At 42.8% G+C, this 14222-nt stretch overlaps 1 protein-coding gene and 1 long non-coding RNA gene across 55 annotated transcripts in view, besides 3 other annotated features; one reads left to right on the top strand and one right to left on the bottom strand.

The window, feature by feature from the left end:
* Positions 1–359, bottom strand: part of EMSY (EMSY transcriptional repressor, BRCA2 interacting) — a 108014-nt gene extending 107655 nt beyond the window's left edge. For all 50 annotated transcript variants that reach the window (XM_047427269.1, NM_001300942.2, XM_047427298.1 and 47 more), the window contains exon 1: positions 249–359. The gene's annotated coding sequence lies outside the window, so the exon portion shown is untranslated. The remainder of the gene's footprint in view (positions 1–248) is intronic.
* Positions 82–718: an enhancer, noted in NCBI's record as "H3K27ac hESC enhancer chr11:76155703-76156339 (GRCh37/hg19 assembly coordinates)". NCBI's record gives its function as "activates a minimal SCP1, AML or CMV promoter by ChIP-STARR-seq in naive H9 embryonic stem cells {active_cell/tissue: H9 hESC(naive)}" and the evidence as "EXISTENCE:reporter gene assay evidence [ECO:0000049][PMID:30033119]".
* Positions 152–381: an enhancer, noted in NCBI's record as "active region_5289". NCBI's record gives its function as "activates an Ori minimal core promoter by ATAC-STARR-seq in GM12878 lymphoblastoid cells {active_cell/tissue: GM12878}" and the evidence as "EXISTENCE:reporter gene assay evidence [ECO:0000049][PMID:35858748]".
* Positions 697–11452, top strand: EMSY-DT (EMSY divergent transcript). 5 transcript variants are annotated; one of them, NR_199705.1, is made up of 3 exons: positions 697–1099; positions 1643–1708; positions 3738–4042. It is a non-coding gene; the product is annotated as an EMSY divergent transcript (long non-coding RNA). The 5 variants fall into 5 exon arrangements; NR_186348.1 differs by lacking the exons at positions 1643–1708; positions 3738–4042 and adding an exon at positions 9551–11452; NR_199706.1 differs by lacking the exon at positions 1643–1708 and having other exon boundaries at positions 697–1096.
* Positions 719–1354: an enhancer, noted in NCBI's record as "H3K27ac hESC enhancer chr11:76155067-76155702 (GRCh37/hg19 assembly coordinates)". NCBI's record gives its function as "activates a minimal SCP1, AML or CMV promoter by ChIP-STARR-seq in primed H9 embryonic stem cells {active_cell/tissue: H9 hESC(primed)}" and the evidence as "EXISTENCE:reporter gene assay evidence [ECO:0000049][PMID:30033119]".
* Positions 11453–14222: the final 2770 nt, after the last annotated feature.

Genomic DNA, 14222 nt, shown 5'->3' with positions numbered 1-14222 from the left:
AGCCAGCGGATACCCAGCCAGACGACCTGGACTCACCGGGAGTCTCCCAGAGCTAAACCCCCAGAGTCCCAGCACCAGGCCAGCCAGAGTCCCCCTGAGTCCACCCCGGGGAGCCCCACGATCCCGTTAGGAAACAACGGAGGATGGGGCTGGGAGCCCCAAGCCGGGCTCCGAATGCTTGGCCCGGCGCTCCTCTAGCCTGGCTGGCCTGCCAGCTCTTCCCAGGACCCTGCCTGAGAGTCACCCACCTGCCCGGCCTTTCGGGGCTCATCTAAAAGGCTCCTCCGCCAAGACTAGGGGACACCAGGAATTGGGTTTGTTTGCGGTGCCTCTGAAGGGGCAAGATGGCGACAGGTAACAGGGCGCAGGCGCAGCCGCGCGCGGCCAGTCGGGAGGTGTAGTTCGCTTTTCCCGCCTTTCGGAGAACAAACACCAAAAGGCCTCCATTCATCTTGTCCTTCTTTTCCTCCGCGTTATGAAAGAAAAGGACAGACATCGCGGAGGGTGCTGGGAGTTGTGGTCCGAATCCAAACTCCAACCTCTTTCGCTCCAGGTTTGCTGTCGTACGCGCAAGGAAGGCCGGGATTGTAGTTCCCTTGGTTTCTCCTGCATACCCTCCTGTCTCTGGCTTCGCGCGCCTCTCCTGGGCTGCCGTCTCCCAGCCAATCGGCTGCGCTCTCTGCTACGTGTGGCGTCACACGTAGCGGCCAAGATGGCGCTAGCGGTTGGAGCAGGGGCTCTGCTGCGACCTTTACGGTAGTGAGGTTAGGGACGATGGGAGAGCAGCTTTGTTCCTGAAGTGCCGTCGAGGATTAGGATCGAGTTTCTTCGATCGTGAGGGCAATTATTAGTGGCCTCTAGCCCCCCAGATGGCATCTTGAGGAGAGAGAATCCACGCTACGAGAACTAACATAGTGGACATCGCAGTTGTCCGTAGCCGATTTGCGGGTTACGGAGTTGTTGCAAGTAAAGAAGGGGAAATCCGAGCGTTCTCGCGTTGGATTTCCTCCACGTGTGAAGTGGGAATGGTAGTGATATCTCGTGCTATCTCTGTCAAGGGCAAGAAGGAGAAGGAATTTATTTGAGGCCCTACGACGTGGTAGGTTCACCCTCAGCCTTTGTTCTTATTTCATCTTATTTGTGGAGAAGGTCTTTTCGTTCCTATTTTACAGGTGAGAAAAGGGGCCCAATATATAGTTATTTGCGGCCATAAAATAGAAGCCAGTTGCCTGATACTGAAGATTCAATGAAATCTTGTGATTGACTTCCCTCTTTAAATTTTGTACTTTGGGTAACATCGGATCCGGTAGAAACGCTCGTCAGAAAGAGTTTTTAATGTGCATTCTACAATTTCCAGACATAGTTTCCTTCTTGAAAAATTGGGTTAATACTACCCTATAGGGATCTTGTGATGCACCACGTAAACGTTGTAAGTTGTGAACCACTATACAAACGTATGAGACTCTTCATGTTCTTGAGTGGAACTGTAGGTTAGGAAGAGAAGGTAAATAACAGCATTTAAGTTTCCTACTACTATTTGCCCATTAGCTAAAAATACCCTCCGAGGTCTAGGAAAGTCACTGTTGTTGAAACCCAACCTACACCTTCAGAAAATCGTAAAGTGGAACATATTAATCACCAGGCCCTCCCTCCGCTGTCTCCCTGACCTTCCTATGCATCCAGTTGCTTAAGAACTCTTGGAAAGATAGTAAGTGAAATCTTCATAGAGGATTTTTGTACTTTAACATATATTATTTGATTTGAGCCTCGCAACATTTCAGTGTGACAGGTACGATTAAGGTCTTTCATACTATGAATGAGAAAAACATAGATGTACCAAGGACTCACCAAATTTCACGGAGCTAGGAATTGGAAGAGAGCTAGGCTTTGTAATCCCAGGTCTTCTGACCTCCAAATGTCCTTTCCTCTACAGTGAATGTCAAAATGACAATGAATGTCTACTCCTCTACAATGGAGTACAAATCGAAAGACAAGGGGCTTATAAAACTGACTCTGACCTTAAGAAGTAGCATATGAGTGATGAATTATTATAGTCAATCCTTGTGCTTACTAAGTGCCACATACTGGTCTAAGCATTTTACATAGTAATTCAGTCCTTAGAACAACTTTATGAGGTGGAAACTTTTATTATCTCTAATTACAAAGGAGGCAACTAAAGTCTAGGAAAGAAGCAAAATAGCTTGCCTAAAGTCACACATAAGTAAATGGTGGCTCACGCCTGTAAACCCAGCACTTTGGGAGGCTGAGGCAAGTGGATCATTTGAGGTCAGGAGTTCAAGACCAGCCTGGCCAACATGGTGAAAGCCCACCTCTACTAAAAATACAAAAATTAGCTGGGCATGGTGGCATGTGCCTGTAATCCCAGCTACTCGGGAGGCTGAGACAGGAGAATTGCTTGAACCAGGGAGGTGGAGGTTGCAGTGAGCCAAGATCGCTCTACTGCATTCCAGCGTGGGCAACAGAGCAAGACTCCATCTTAAAAAAAAAAAAAAAAAAAAAAGCTAAAGCTGGGATTTAAACCTGATTATGTTGGCTCCAGAGCCTATGCTCTAGACCAGTGGTTCTAAACTTTAATGGTCAATAGGAACCGCTTGAGGATCTTGTTAAAACGCAAATATTGGTAGTATAGATATCAGGTAAGGCCTGGATCCTATAGTCTTAACAGGCCCCCAGGTGATGTTGATGGTGCTGGTCATTACATACTACAGTTCACATCTTCCCTTTTCTCCTAACCGTATTTATTTTGCAGTCAGAAACTACCTTTCCCATGCTGCCTGTGACTGCTTTATAGTCTCAAATGTTCCCAACATGCTCTTCCTTAAGGATTAGACTCAAACTTTTTCCTCAAAAAGCTTATCCTGCCCCTGTCTTTCCCTCTAGGATAAGACAGACATCCCTGCCTCTGCTCCCCTACCACTCAGTGTACACCTTGTTACAGAGCTCAGAACACTGAATTATGGCCATTTATTTGAAAATCTTCCTGGCCGGGCATGGTGGCTCATGCCTGTATTCCCAGTACTTTGGGAGGCCGAGGTGGGCTGATCACTTGAGGTCAGGAGTTCAAGACCAGCTTGGCCAACATGGTGAAATCCCGTCTATACTAAAGATAGAAAAATTAGCCGGTCATGGTGTTGTGCATCTGTAGTCCTAGGTACTCTACTCGAGAGGCTGAGGCAGGAGAATCTCTTGAACCCAGGAGGTGGAGGTTGCAGTGAGCTGAGATTGCGCAACTGCACTTCAGCCTGGGCGACAGAGCAAGACTCTGTCTCAAAAAAAAAGAAAAGAAAATCTTCCTGACTGGACAACGAGCTCTTTGAGGAGAGGAACCAATCAGGTCTGTGTACTGTAGAGCCTAGCATATAATAAGAATAATAGCTAATACTTACATAGGACTTTCTGTATTCCAGATCACGTTATACACATTAACTTGTTTAATCTCTACTATAACCTTACAGATACACTTTTATCCCCATTTTATGAATGAAGAAACTAAGGCATAGAGAGGTTAAATAGCTGGCCCAAGGTAACAAGCTTGTAAGTAACAGAGCCATGATTTTAAATAAAAGCACTTTGGCTCCAGGAAATGTGTGGTGAATTAAATGAGAGCCACTCTACACTCAACCAAAGAAGGAAAACTGAGACTTACTATCCTATTAGACATGATTATAACTACCTCTAGTCTGGGAAAATACACAGAAATCTGTTCCCCTGGCCAGGTGCGGTGGCTCACGCCTGTAATCCCAACACTTTGGGAGGCCGAGGCAGGCGGATCATCTGAGATCGAGAGTTCGAGACCAGCTTGACCAACATGGAGAAACCCCGTCTCTACTAAAAGTACAAAATTAGCCAGGCATGGTGGCACATGCCCGTAATCCCAGCTACTCGGGAGGCTGAGGCAGGAGAGTAGCTTGAGCCCAGGAGGCGGAGGTTGTGGTGAGCCGAGATCGCGCCATTGCACAGCCTGGGCAACGAGCGAAACTCCATCTCAAAAAAATAAATAAAAATTTTTTTAAAAAAGAAATCTGTTCCCCTTTGCTGGATTTACTTTTTTTCCTTTCTGTCCTGGACCCCATGGTTATTTATTTCAAATTCAGTCTCAATCAGTACTTTCAAGTTTATTCAACCATCTCTGTCCTTCCATCGACCCCGAAATAGTCCTCAACCTGTGATCAGTTTCCCATCTTTCCTCATGTTTGATATAGCTGTTAGTTAACTCTTAGTGCATAAGAAAAATTATCCCAAACTTTAGTGACTTAAAACAAGAATAATTTTTTAAATTTTTATACAGTTTTTGCATTTTCTATTGGAATCAAGAGTGGCTTAGCTGGGTGGTTCTGGCTTGGGGTCTCCCAAGCAGTTGCAGCTATCTGAAGGCTGACTGGGGCTGGAGGATCAGCTTCCAAGGTACCTCACTCACATTGGTTGGAAAGTCAGCAAGGAAAGAGGCCTCAATTTCTCACTATGTAGACCTCCCTATAAGGCTGCTTGAGCATCTTTGGGATATAGTAACTGGATTGCCCCAGAGCAAGTGATCCAAGAGTGTTACAGAAGCTATAATGTTGCAATATGTATACAGAGAGATTTAGATATAAAATCAGATTTTATATATGTTTGTATAAATGTATATAAAACTCACGTACTCTGAAGGTGAATTTGTACAAAGCAGTAAAGCTAGAACAACTGGTGGGAATAAGTTGAAATAATACTGCGTAGCGTTTATTACAGACCCATTATGAAAAGAACACCTTGCTTATCTTATTTAAACCTTACAACATTCCTATGACTTGGTAATTATTGTTCCATTTTACAGTTGAGGAAACCAAGCCCTAGAGAAAACTCATTTGTCCAAATTCAAATATCACCAGAAGACTCTTCCCCCAAACACACAGGTGTTAAGGAGGTCTGGTTATCTGTGATTCCATAACCATTGCTGTGGCCTAAATTATCTGTTTTACTCATGAATCTCCAATTTGGGTGGGACTTAGTGGGGACAGTTAATCTCTACTCCTCTTGACATCAGCAAGGGAAATTTGAAGACTGAGGTCTGGAATCTTATGAGGGCTCGTTCATTCATAAGACCAGCAGTTGACATTGGCTGTTGTCTGGAATCAGTCACAGACCCACCCAGGTTCAAGGAAAGGGGAAATAGATTTTATCTCTTGATAGAAGCATAGTAGCATCCTGGAACACCAGAATATTACTGTGCTCATTTTTAGAAATATCAACTGCCATAGTCTATCTTCTGTCCACAACAGTTCATATTCCTCCCACATGCAAATGGACTCATTCCTACCACCCAAAGTCTTCCCATTTTGGCAACATGCTTAGGTTTGAGGTCCAAGATCTTGTCACCTAAATCAAGTCCAGATATGGGTTAGTTTTCTTAGGTGCAGTTGCTTTCAGTGTAAAGACTCGGGAACTAAAGAGACAAGTTACCTTTTCCCCACACATCCAACATACAATGGTGGGACAGGCATGGAAAAACCACTGTAGACCTTAATCAGAAAGGGGAATAAAGGAGGCACGCCAGGGCCACTGATTCATAACAGCTCTGATGCTAGTTCCTTGATCAGGAATGATCTCTAGGAATGATTCTCTACAGCTCTTGACTCTACCCTCAAGCCTCCAGGTTACGCTCTCAGAAGCATTAATGATCTCTAGGAATGATTCTCTACAGCTCTTGACTACCCTCAAGCCTTTAGGTTCCGCTCTCAGAGGCATTAATGATCTCTAGGAATGATTCTCTACAGCTCTCGACCCTACCCTCAAGCCTCTAGGTTCTGCTTTCAGAGGCTTTCTTTATTTTCCATAAAATATAGCCAGTGTTTGAGACCAATTATTTATTTATTTATTTATCTATTTATTTATTTATTGAGATGGAGTCTCACTCTGTCGCCCAGGCTGGAGTGCAGTAGCACGATCTCGGCTCACTGCAACCGCCGCCTTCCAGGTTCAAGCGATTCTCCTGCCTCAGCCTCCCAAGTAGTTGGGACTACAGGCGTGCGCCACCATGCCCCACTAATTGTTGTATTTTTAGTAGAGATGGGGTTTCACCATTTTGGCCAAGCTGGTCTCAAACTCCTGACCTTGTGATCCACCCGCCTCAGCCTCCCAAAGTGCTGGGAGTCCAGGCGTGAGCCACCACACCAGGCCATGTCATTGTATCTTTTTTAGATGGATGAATATTAAATTTATTTATTTATTATTTTTTTTGAGATGGAGTCTCGCTCTTGTCACCCAGACTGGAGTGCAATGGCATGATCTTGGCTCACTGCAACCTCCGCCTCCCAGGTTCGAGCAATTAACCCTGCCTCAGCCTCCCAAGTAGCTGGGATTACAGGCACGTGCCCCCTCATCCGGTTAATTTTTGTATTTTTACTAGAGATGGGGTTTCACCATGTTGGCCAGGCTGGTCCTGAACTCCTGGCCTCAGGTGATCCACCCGCCTTGGCCTCCCAAAGTACTGGGATTACAGGCAGGAGCCACTGTGCCCAGCCATGTCATGATACCTTTTTTAGATGGATGAATATTAAATTTAAAAAACAAAATGATCCGTGTGCGTAGAAGGAACTAAAGGGGAAAAAGATCAATCTGAAAACAAACTATATAGAACAGCATACCAGCTTCATACTAACATGATAAAAGCAGAGGCTTTGGGTAACCAAAAAGTATGCTTTTTAAGCATGAGAATAATTCTAAAGGCTAGCTATATCTTTTCTTTCTTCTAAAAATAATTTCAGTTAAAGAATTTACATATAAAGTTCATTTATCATCACCCACTGTGGGTGAAGCTCTGTCAGGCTCCGGAGAAACAAATTACTAAACATGATCAACTGCCCTTCACATACTCATAATCTAGTGGGGGAGACAGACACATACACAGATAATTGCCATACAATATGGTGTTCATGGTATTAGCAAGTGTGTTTTTTTTTTGTTGTTTTTTTTTTAATTTTTTTTAGTTTCACTCTTGTCACCCAGGCTGGAGTGCAACTGGCGTGATCCCGGCTCACTACAACCTCTGCCTCCTGGGTTCAAGCGATTCTCCTTCCTCAGCCTCCCGAGTAGCTAGGATTACAGGTGTGTGCCACCACGCCTAGCAAATTTTTGTATTTTTAGTAGAGATGGGGTTTCACAATGTTGGCCAGGCTGGTCTTCCAACTCCTGACCTCAGGTGATCCAGCCGCCTCTGCCCCGCAAAGTGCTGAGCTTACAGGCGTGAGCCACCGCACCTAGCTGGTATTAGCAAGTTGTAAGAAAAGAGTTCCTGTAATCCCAGCACTTTGGGAGGCCGAGGCGGGCGGATCACGAGGTCAGGAGATGGAGACAATCCTGGCTAACACGGTGACACCCCGTCTCTACTAAAAATACAAAAAATTAGCCGGGTGTGGTGGCGGGTGCCTGTAGTCCCAGCTACTCGGGAGGCTGAGGCAGGAGAATGGCCTGAACCTGGGAGGCAGAGGTTGCAGTGAATGGAGATCTTGCCACTGCACTCCAGCCTGGGCGACAGAGTGAGACTCCGTCTCAAAAAAAAAAAAAAGAAAAGAAAAGAAAAGAGTTAAGGAGCCATTAATACTTCCTAGGAGCTAGTAAGGAAAAGTCACCAAGAAGACAGCATGCAAGTAGGGCCTTAAAAGATAGAAGTTCAACAGAAAAAGGAGGAAAGGCTATTAAAATCCGAGAAAGAAATAGCAATGGCCAACTCACAGGCATAAACATAAGAATTTTGGGAAATGCATACATTTCAGTTTAGCTAGGTGGGGGTTTGGGGGTGGCCTCATTACCACTGGTTGGAGGTAAAAGTCCCAACTCTCCACTTGGCCTTGTCTGACACCATCCCACCTGAGAAGGGAAGGGCACCTCTTTGCCACCAGGTACAGGTGAAATTCCATGTTTTACATGTGGTGGGCTGACAAGTGTGAGGGGCAAGTATTAGGAGAGGGCCTTGTTACTGTCCATTGAGGATGAAAGTCTAAGCTTCCCCCTGTGTATTCTCTGACATGAACCCAGAAATGGAGAAAGGAAGTTGAGTGGTCTCATTAGAACCTGGCCTTTGCTGGTGGGGGTGGGGGTTGGGTTGTAGTTTTTTTCCCGTGGTACTTATCTGGAGTAGAGACATTATCATCTAAAAATGTTCTGTCTTGCAAAGCTGCTGCTTTCCTAGTCCTTTGACTAGACAGAGCAGGCTTTTCCTAGGGCTTTAAAAAAAAAATGCTGTGCCCATTGGCATTTCTGGGTTGCCAGCTTCTCCAGTACCCAATCTGGGATATATAAAAGAAAACCCAGGGAACTCATTTCTGTGTATTCCTTGGGTTCCAGATCCTTAGGTGGTCTGCCTTCTTGTCACCTTTCAGATTCTTCTTACATTTGTTTTATGTATAATGTTTTACATATAGTGTCCAGGGTTTTTAGCTGCACCTAACTGAAGGAATAGGGAAAAGTAAATATACTCTTTCTATAAGTGGTAGTCTGAGGTCAATTGATTTGTTACAAAGCTGCCAAGGCAATGCTCTGTGAAAGCCACCATTAAAAGAATGCAACAGTGGGCAACAAACTGGGAGAAAAATACTTGTAGAACACTTATCAGACATAAGACTTGTATCTAAGTAAGAAAACAACCCCATTTTAAAATAGGCAAAAGACGCTTCACCGAAGAGGATATACAGATGGGAATAAGCACAAGAAAACATACTGAACATGATTAGCCATAAGAGAAATGCAAAGTAAAATGACAGTGTCACAGCTGGGTGCAGAGACTGTCTCCAGATGCTGAGACAGGAGACATCTCCAGATGCTGGGCTCACTTGAGCCCAGGGTTTCGAGGCTGTAGTGTGCCGTGCTTGCGTCTGTGAATAGCCACTGCACTCCACCCTGGGCAATATGGTGAGACCCCGTCTCTTAAATCAAATAAAATCATGATACAATACCACTACCCACCTAATAGAATGGCTGAAATAAAATACATTGACAACACCAGCTCCTGGTGAGGATGCAGAGCAACTGGAACTCTCATACATGACTGATAGGAATGCAAAATAGTATGGCCACTCTAGAAAGCAGTTTGGCATTTTCTTGTAAACTTTCAAACAGTTACTATATGACTCAGCAATAACATTCGTACACATTTTGCCTAGAGAAATGAAAAATTTCACATGAAAACATGCATGAGTGTTTAGAACAGTTTTGTTCTTATTCACCAAAAACTGGAAATAACCAAATGTCTTTCAGTGAGTGAATAAGTAAACTGTGGTACATTTATACAATGGAATACTACTGAGCAATAAAAAAGAGGTAAGATACACACAAGAAGTTGGGTGAATCTCAAAGGCATTATTCTGAGTAAAAGAAGCCAATATCCAAAGGTTACATACTATATGATTCCATTTGTATGACATTCTCCAAAAGGTACAAATATCACAACAGCATACAGATCAATGGCTGCCAAGGGTTTGGAGTTGGGGGAGGGTGATGGAACTGCTTTGTATTTTGATTGTAGTGGTAGTTACAAAAACTTTGTTAAAATTTATAGAACTGCCGGGCACAGTGGCTCACTCCTGTAATCACAACACTTTGAGATGCCGAGTCGGGAGGATCATGAGGTGAGGAGTTTGAGACCAGCCTGGCCAACGTAGCGAAACCCCGCCTCTACTAAAAATACAAAAAAACAGCCAGGCGTGGTGGCGGGCACCTGTGATCCCAGCAACTCAGGAGGCTGAGGCAGGAGAATAGCATGAACCCGCGAGGCGGAGCTTGCAGTGAGCCGAGATCACGCCACTGCACTCCAGCCTGGGCGACAGAGTGAGACTCCGTCTCAAAAAAAAAAAAAAAAAAATCTATACCATGAAAAGTATGTGATGCTGTATGTAATATTTTAGAATTTATTTACTGTTTTTATTTATATTGCTAAGAGTCATCCATATTGTCGCATGTTGCTATGGTTCATTTATTTTAACTGTTGTTTCTCCATTGTGTGAATTTATCCATTTTTTCACCCATTCTCCCATTGATGAACATTTTATTGTTTTTGTTCATGTGAACAGTTTGCTCTGAATATTCTTGTTCATGCCGCCTATTGAAATTATGAATTTCTCTAAGTCATTTGAACCCAAGACTTAGAGAAATTGTTGGGTCAACTTTTGTCCTAAAGTTAAATATTCATGTGTTCAACTTTAGGAGAAAATGCCAGGCCATTTTCAAATGTTAGACATAATATTTGATACTGTGAGAATGAGAATAAGAGTGTAAAAGTGGAAGCATGGAGATCAATCTTTGGGATGCTCCCACTGCACTCTGCTCTTTGTCCAAGAGACTTGGCCAAATTCCCTCTTTTTTAGAAGCCTCACCTCCTCCCACACCAGGCACAATCAGTTTTCCTCCTGTAGGTTCCCAAGGCACCTGTTTCATGCCATACTTTAGGTAATTATCAGACTGTATTGAGATAATAATTCCTTCTAGCAGGTAGGAAGCTTCTAGAAGGCATAGGCCAAGATTCTTTGTATTCTCCATGCCCAGGACCTAGATGAGCACAATAAATATTTCAGTAAATGAACGTTCTTCCTCAAATCTATACCCCCACTTTCCCAGTATCAGATAATGAATGAAATTTATTCTTTCTTTAATAATATAGAATATAATTGCTTGTTTCCATGGTAGTTGCCAATGCCAAAGCTCCTTGAAGGAAGGAACTACACCCCTTTTTTATTATATCCAGCCTTTAATATAGTGCTTGGCAAATTGTAGATTCTTGAAAAGCGTATTGAATATGTTTAATAAATTGAAACTTGCAGCATTTTAAGAGTGTTTATTCACAGCCTGGGCAACATAGTGAGACTCCATCTCTATAAAAACATTTTTTAAAAATTAGCCAGGTGTGGTGGCATGTATCCATAGTCCTAGCTACTTGGGACTGAGGCAGGAGGATTGCTTCAGCTAAGGAATTTGAGGTTACAGTGAGCCATGATCATGCCACTGCACTCCAGCCTAGGTGAAAAAGTGAAAACCTGTCTCAAAGAAAAAAAAAAGTGTTTATTCTGAATGTCAGTTACCATGGTCCAATGCTGGAGATAAAATGTAGAAGATTTAGCTACTTATAAATATGCCATGATGACCGTAGAACATATCCATGCATGTGGCTTAAAAAACAAAAATAAAACAATTCTTGGATATCAAAGGGTGAGATTTCATTTATATTATATAAAGTTCAAAAGCAGTTGAAAATAATCTATAGTGATAGAGGTCTGAATAGTAAATACCTTTAGGGAGCGACCTATAGAACACGTGGGAGCCTACTAGGATGCTATCAATCTTCTATATTTTGATCTGAGTAGGGGCTATATGTATAGATATTGCATATGTGAAAGTTTATTAGGCTGTACGTAAATGATTTATGTGCTTTATATAGATTGTATCTCAATAAAAGTAAAAAGCACTATAATGGTGGATTCGTGGCATTATACATTTGTCATAACCCATAGAATGGACAACACCAAGAGTGAACCCTGGTGTAAATGATGGGCTTTCAGTGACTGATGCTATGTCAGTGTAAGTTTATTGATTGTAGCAAGCACACCGCTTTGGTGCAGGATGTTGATAGTGAGGGAGGTTGTGCATGTATGGGGATGGGATATACACAATATCCCCAATTTTGCTATGAACTTAAAATTTCTCTAAAAAATCAAGTTGATTAATTTTTTAAAAAGTGAAAATTAAAACAGGGCAGGCATGGTGGCTCATGTCTGTAATCCCAGCAGTTTGGGAGGCTGAGGCAGGAGGATCACCTGAGCCCAGGAATCCGAGACCAGCTTGGGCAACATGACAAAACCCTGTCTCTACTATATATATATATATATATATATATAAAATTATCCAAGTTTGATGGCATGCACCCATGGTCCCAGATACTTAGGAAGCTGAAGCAGAAGGATCACTTGAGCCCAGGAGGTGGAGGCTGAAATGAGACATCCTTGTTTATGCCACTGCACTCCAGCCTCAAAAAAAAAAAGAGAGAGAAAAGAAAACAAAAAGCCCACCTATACCAATTAGGCTTTGTTTTTCTTTTGGTGACAAACATGAACAAATGAATGAAATGGCTTAAACAATGGATTAGTTGGACATGGTGATGCGCACCTCTAGTCCTAGATACTCAGGAGGCTACAGCAGGAGGATGGCTTGAGCCCAGGAATTTGAGCTTACAGTGAGCTATGTTGTGTTTGGATGACAGAGTGAGACCCTGTCTCTTAAAAAAAAAAAAAAAAAAAGAATGTTTGTTGTTCACTAACTGAAAAGTTGTGGGGTAGTTTTGGCTTCAGGCATTACTGATCTAGGGATTCAAACAGAGCCAGTCTTAGTATCTCCTCATCTCTGAGCTCTGCTATCTGTGTTCGCTTCATACTCAGGTTCCATCTGTTGGTTCCCAGCAGCCCCAGGTTTACATCATCCACCCTGCTTACAGCCTCAGCAGAAAAGAGCACCTGCCATCTCATGAACAGTCTTACCAAAATCTCCTTGCTCTGTTGCTATGGGCTCTATCTGGGTCACATGCCCATCCCTGAACTGTAGACAGGAGCATGTAATGCCCTGATTTGCCAGGTGTGAACCACATGTTACTCTGGGGAGAGAGGAAGCGATGTGGGTAAAGTCAGTTATTCCCGAAAAACATGGAGTGAGTGCGAAGGCGGGCTTGGTTTCCCTTAGGAAAATTGGGGTACTGCTGTCAGAGGAAGGTGAAAGAATTCTGCAGAGTAAAATCACGGTCGCTCACTGAAATACACCATGGAAATGTGTAATAAGAGTCACTCAAACGTTCATACCCTTCTATGGGGCTCAAAATACACTACCCCAAAATATGGCATCTTGGCATATTGAATATTTAAGCTAAAGGAGTTTGAGAAAATGACTGATGCAGGAAGATCTCTCTGACCTCCTCCCACCCTTCTCCCCGAAGCAGGTCTTAGGAACCTCTTAGCACTTGTGAGAGGTGCTATCCCTAACATCCTTTTCTCCAAGATAGAGGGGCACCAAGAAGAATCTGAGCAAACAGGCCTTGCTAAGTTTCCCCCAGCTTATTAACCTTAGCTTATACCCACTTTGTCCTATCATATTTTTCCACAACTTTCCACTCTTCATCAAACCTCGCATGTAAGTGCTTAGGTTTAGCAATTTATTTGGGTCTTTATTTCCTTATGATGGTTCCTATATCATGTAAAATTTACATTAAATAGATTTGAATGCTTTTCTTTTGTTAATCTGTCTTTTGTTACCAGGACTTCAGAACTTAGAAGGGTAGAAGGAAAAGATGTTTTTCCTCTGCTGTACCTTTGATATAGGATTCCTATTTGTGGGAATAATCCAAAAGATGGAAAGAATTATATTTACAGGGATTTGAATTTCAATGCTATCAAAAACTTGAAGACAACCTAATTATCTTGCAATAGAAGAGTATTTACCTATCCCAAGCATCTACTCACTATGGAGTCATTTTAAATGAACGTTACAAATAATTGACATCAAGAAAAATGCTTATAATAAGTGGAAAAGCATATGCATGTGAATATAAAAACAAAATGGAAGAGGCCGGGTGCAGTGGCTCACACCTGTAATCCCAACACTTTGGGAGGCCGAGGCGGGTGATCACGAGGTCAGGAGTTTGAGACCAGCCTGACCAACGTGGTGAAACCCTGTCTCTACTAAAAATACAAAAATTAGGTGGGCGTGCTGGCATGTGCCTGTAATCCCAGCTACTCAGGAGACTGAGGCAGAAGAATCACTTGAACTGGGGAGGCAGAGGTTACAGTGAGCCGAGATCATGCCACTGCACTCCAGCCTTGGCAACAGAGTGAGACTCTGTCTCAAAAAAAAAAAAAAAAAAAAAAAGGAAGAAAACATGTCCAAACATTAACATATTAGGGTAGTGGAGCTATGGATGATTCTTTTTTCTTTTCTCTATTTCCAACTTTCCTTTTAGGTATTTATATTATCATTATAATGTCAAAATATATTTTGTAAAACTCTATCTTATTAAGAATATTTCATTCTCCTAAATATGGAGTAGAGCCAAAATAAAGAAACTGTGACATCAGTCAACTAATGATTCTGGCTAAGGATATAGAACTTCAGAGCTAGAAAAAACCTCAGAGATATTCCACTTTAACTGCCCCATCTTATATAAGAGAAGTCTGAGACCCAGAAAGGTGAAGCAATTT

The sequence above is a fragment of the Homo sapiens genome, chromosome 11 (assembly GCF_000001405.40).
Source record: "Homo sapiens chromosome 11, GRCh38.p14 Primary Assembly".
Taxonomy (NCBI): domain Eukaryota; kingdom Metazoa; phylum Chordata; class Mammalia; order Primates; family Hominidae; genus Homo; species Homo sapiens.
Note: the sequence above shows the minus strand (reverse complement) of the source record. Positions and strands in the feature narration are given on the sequence as shown.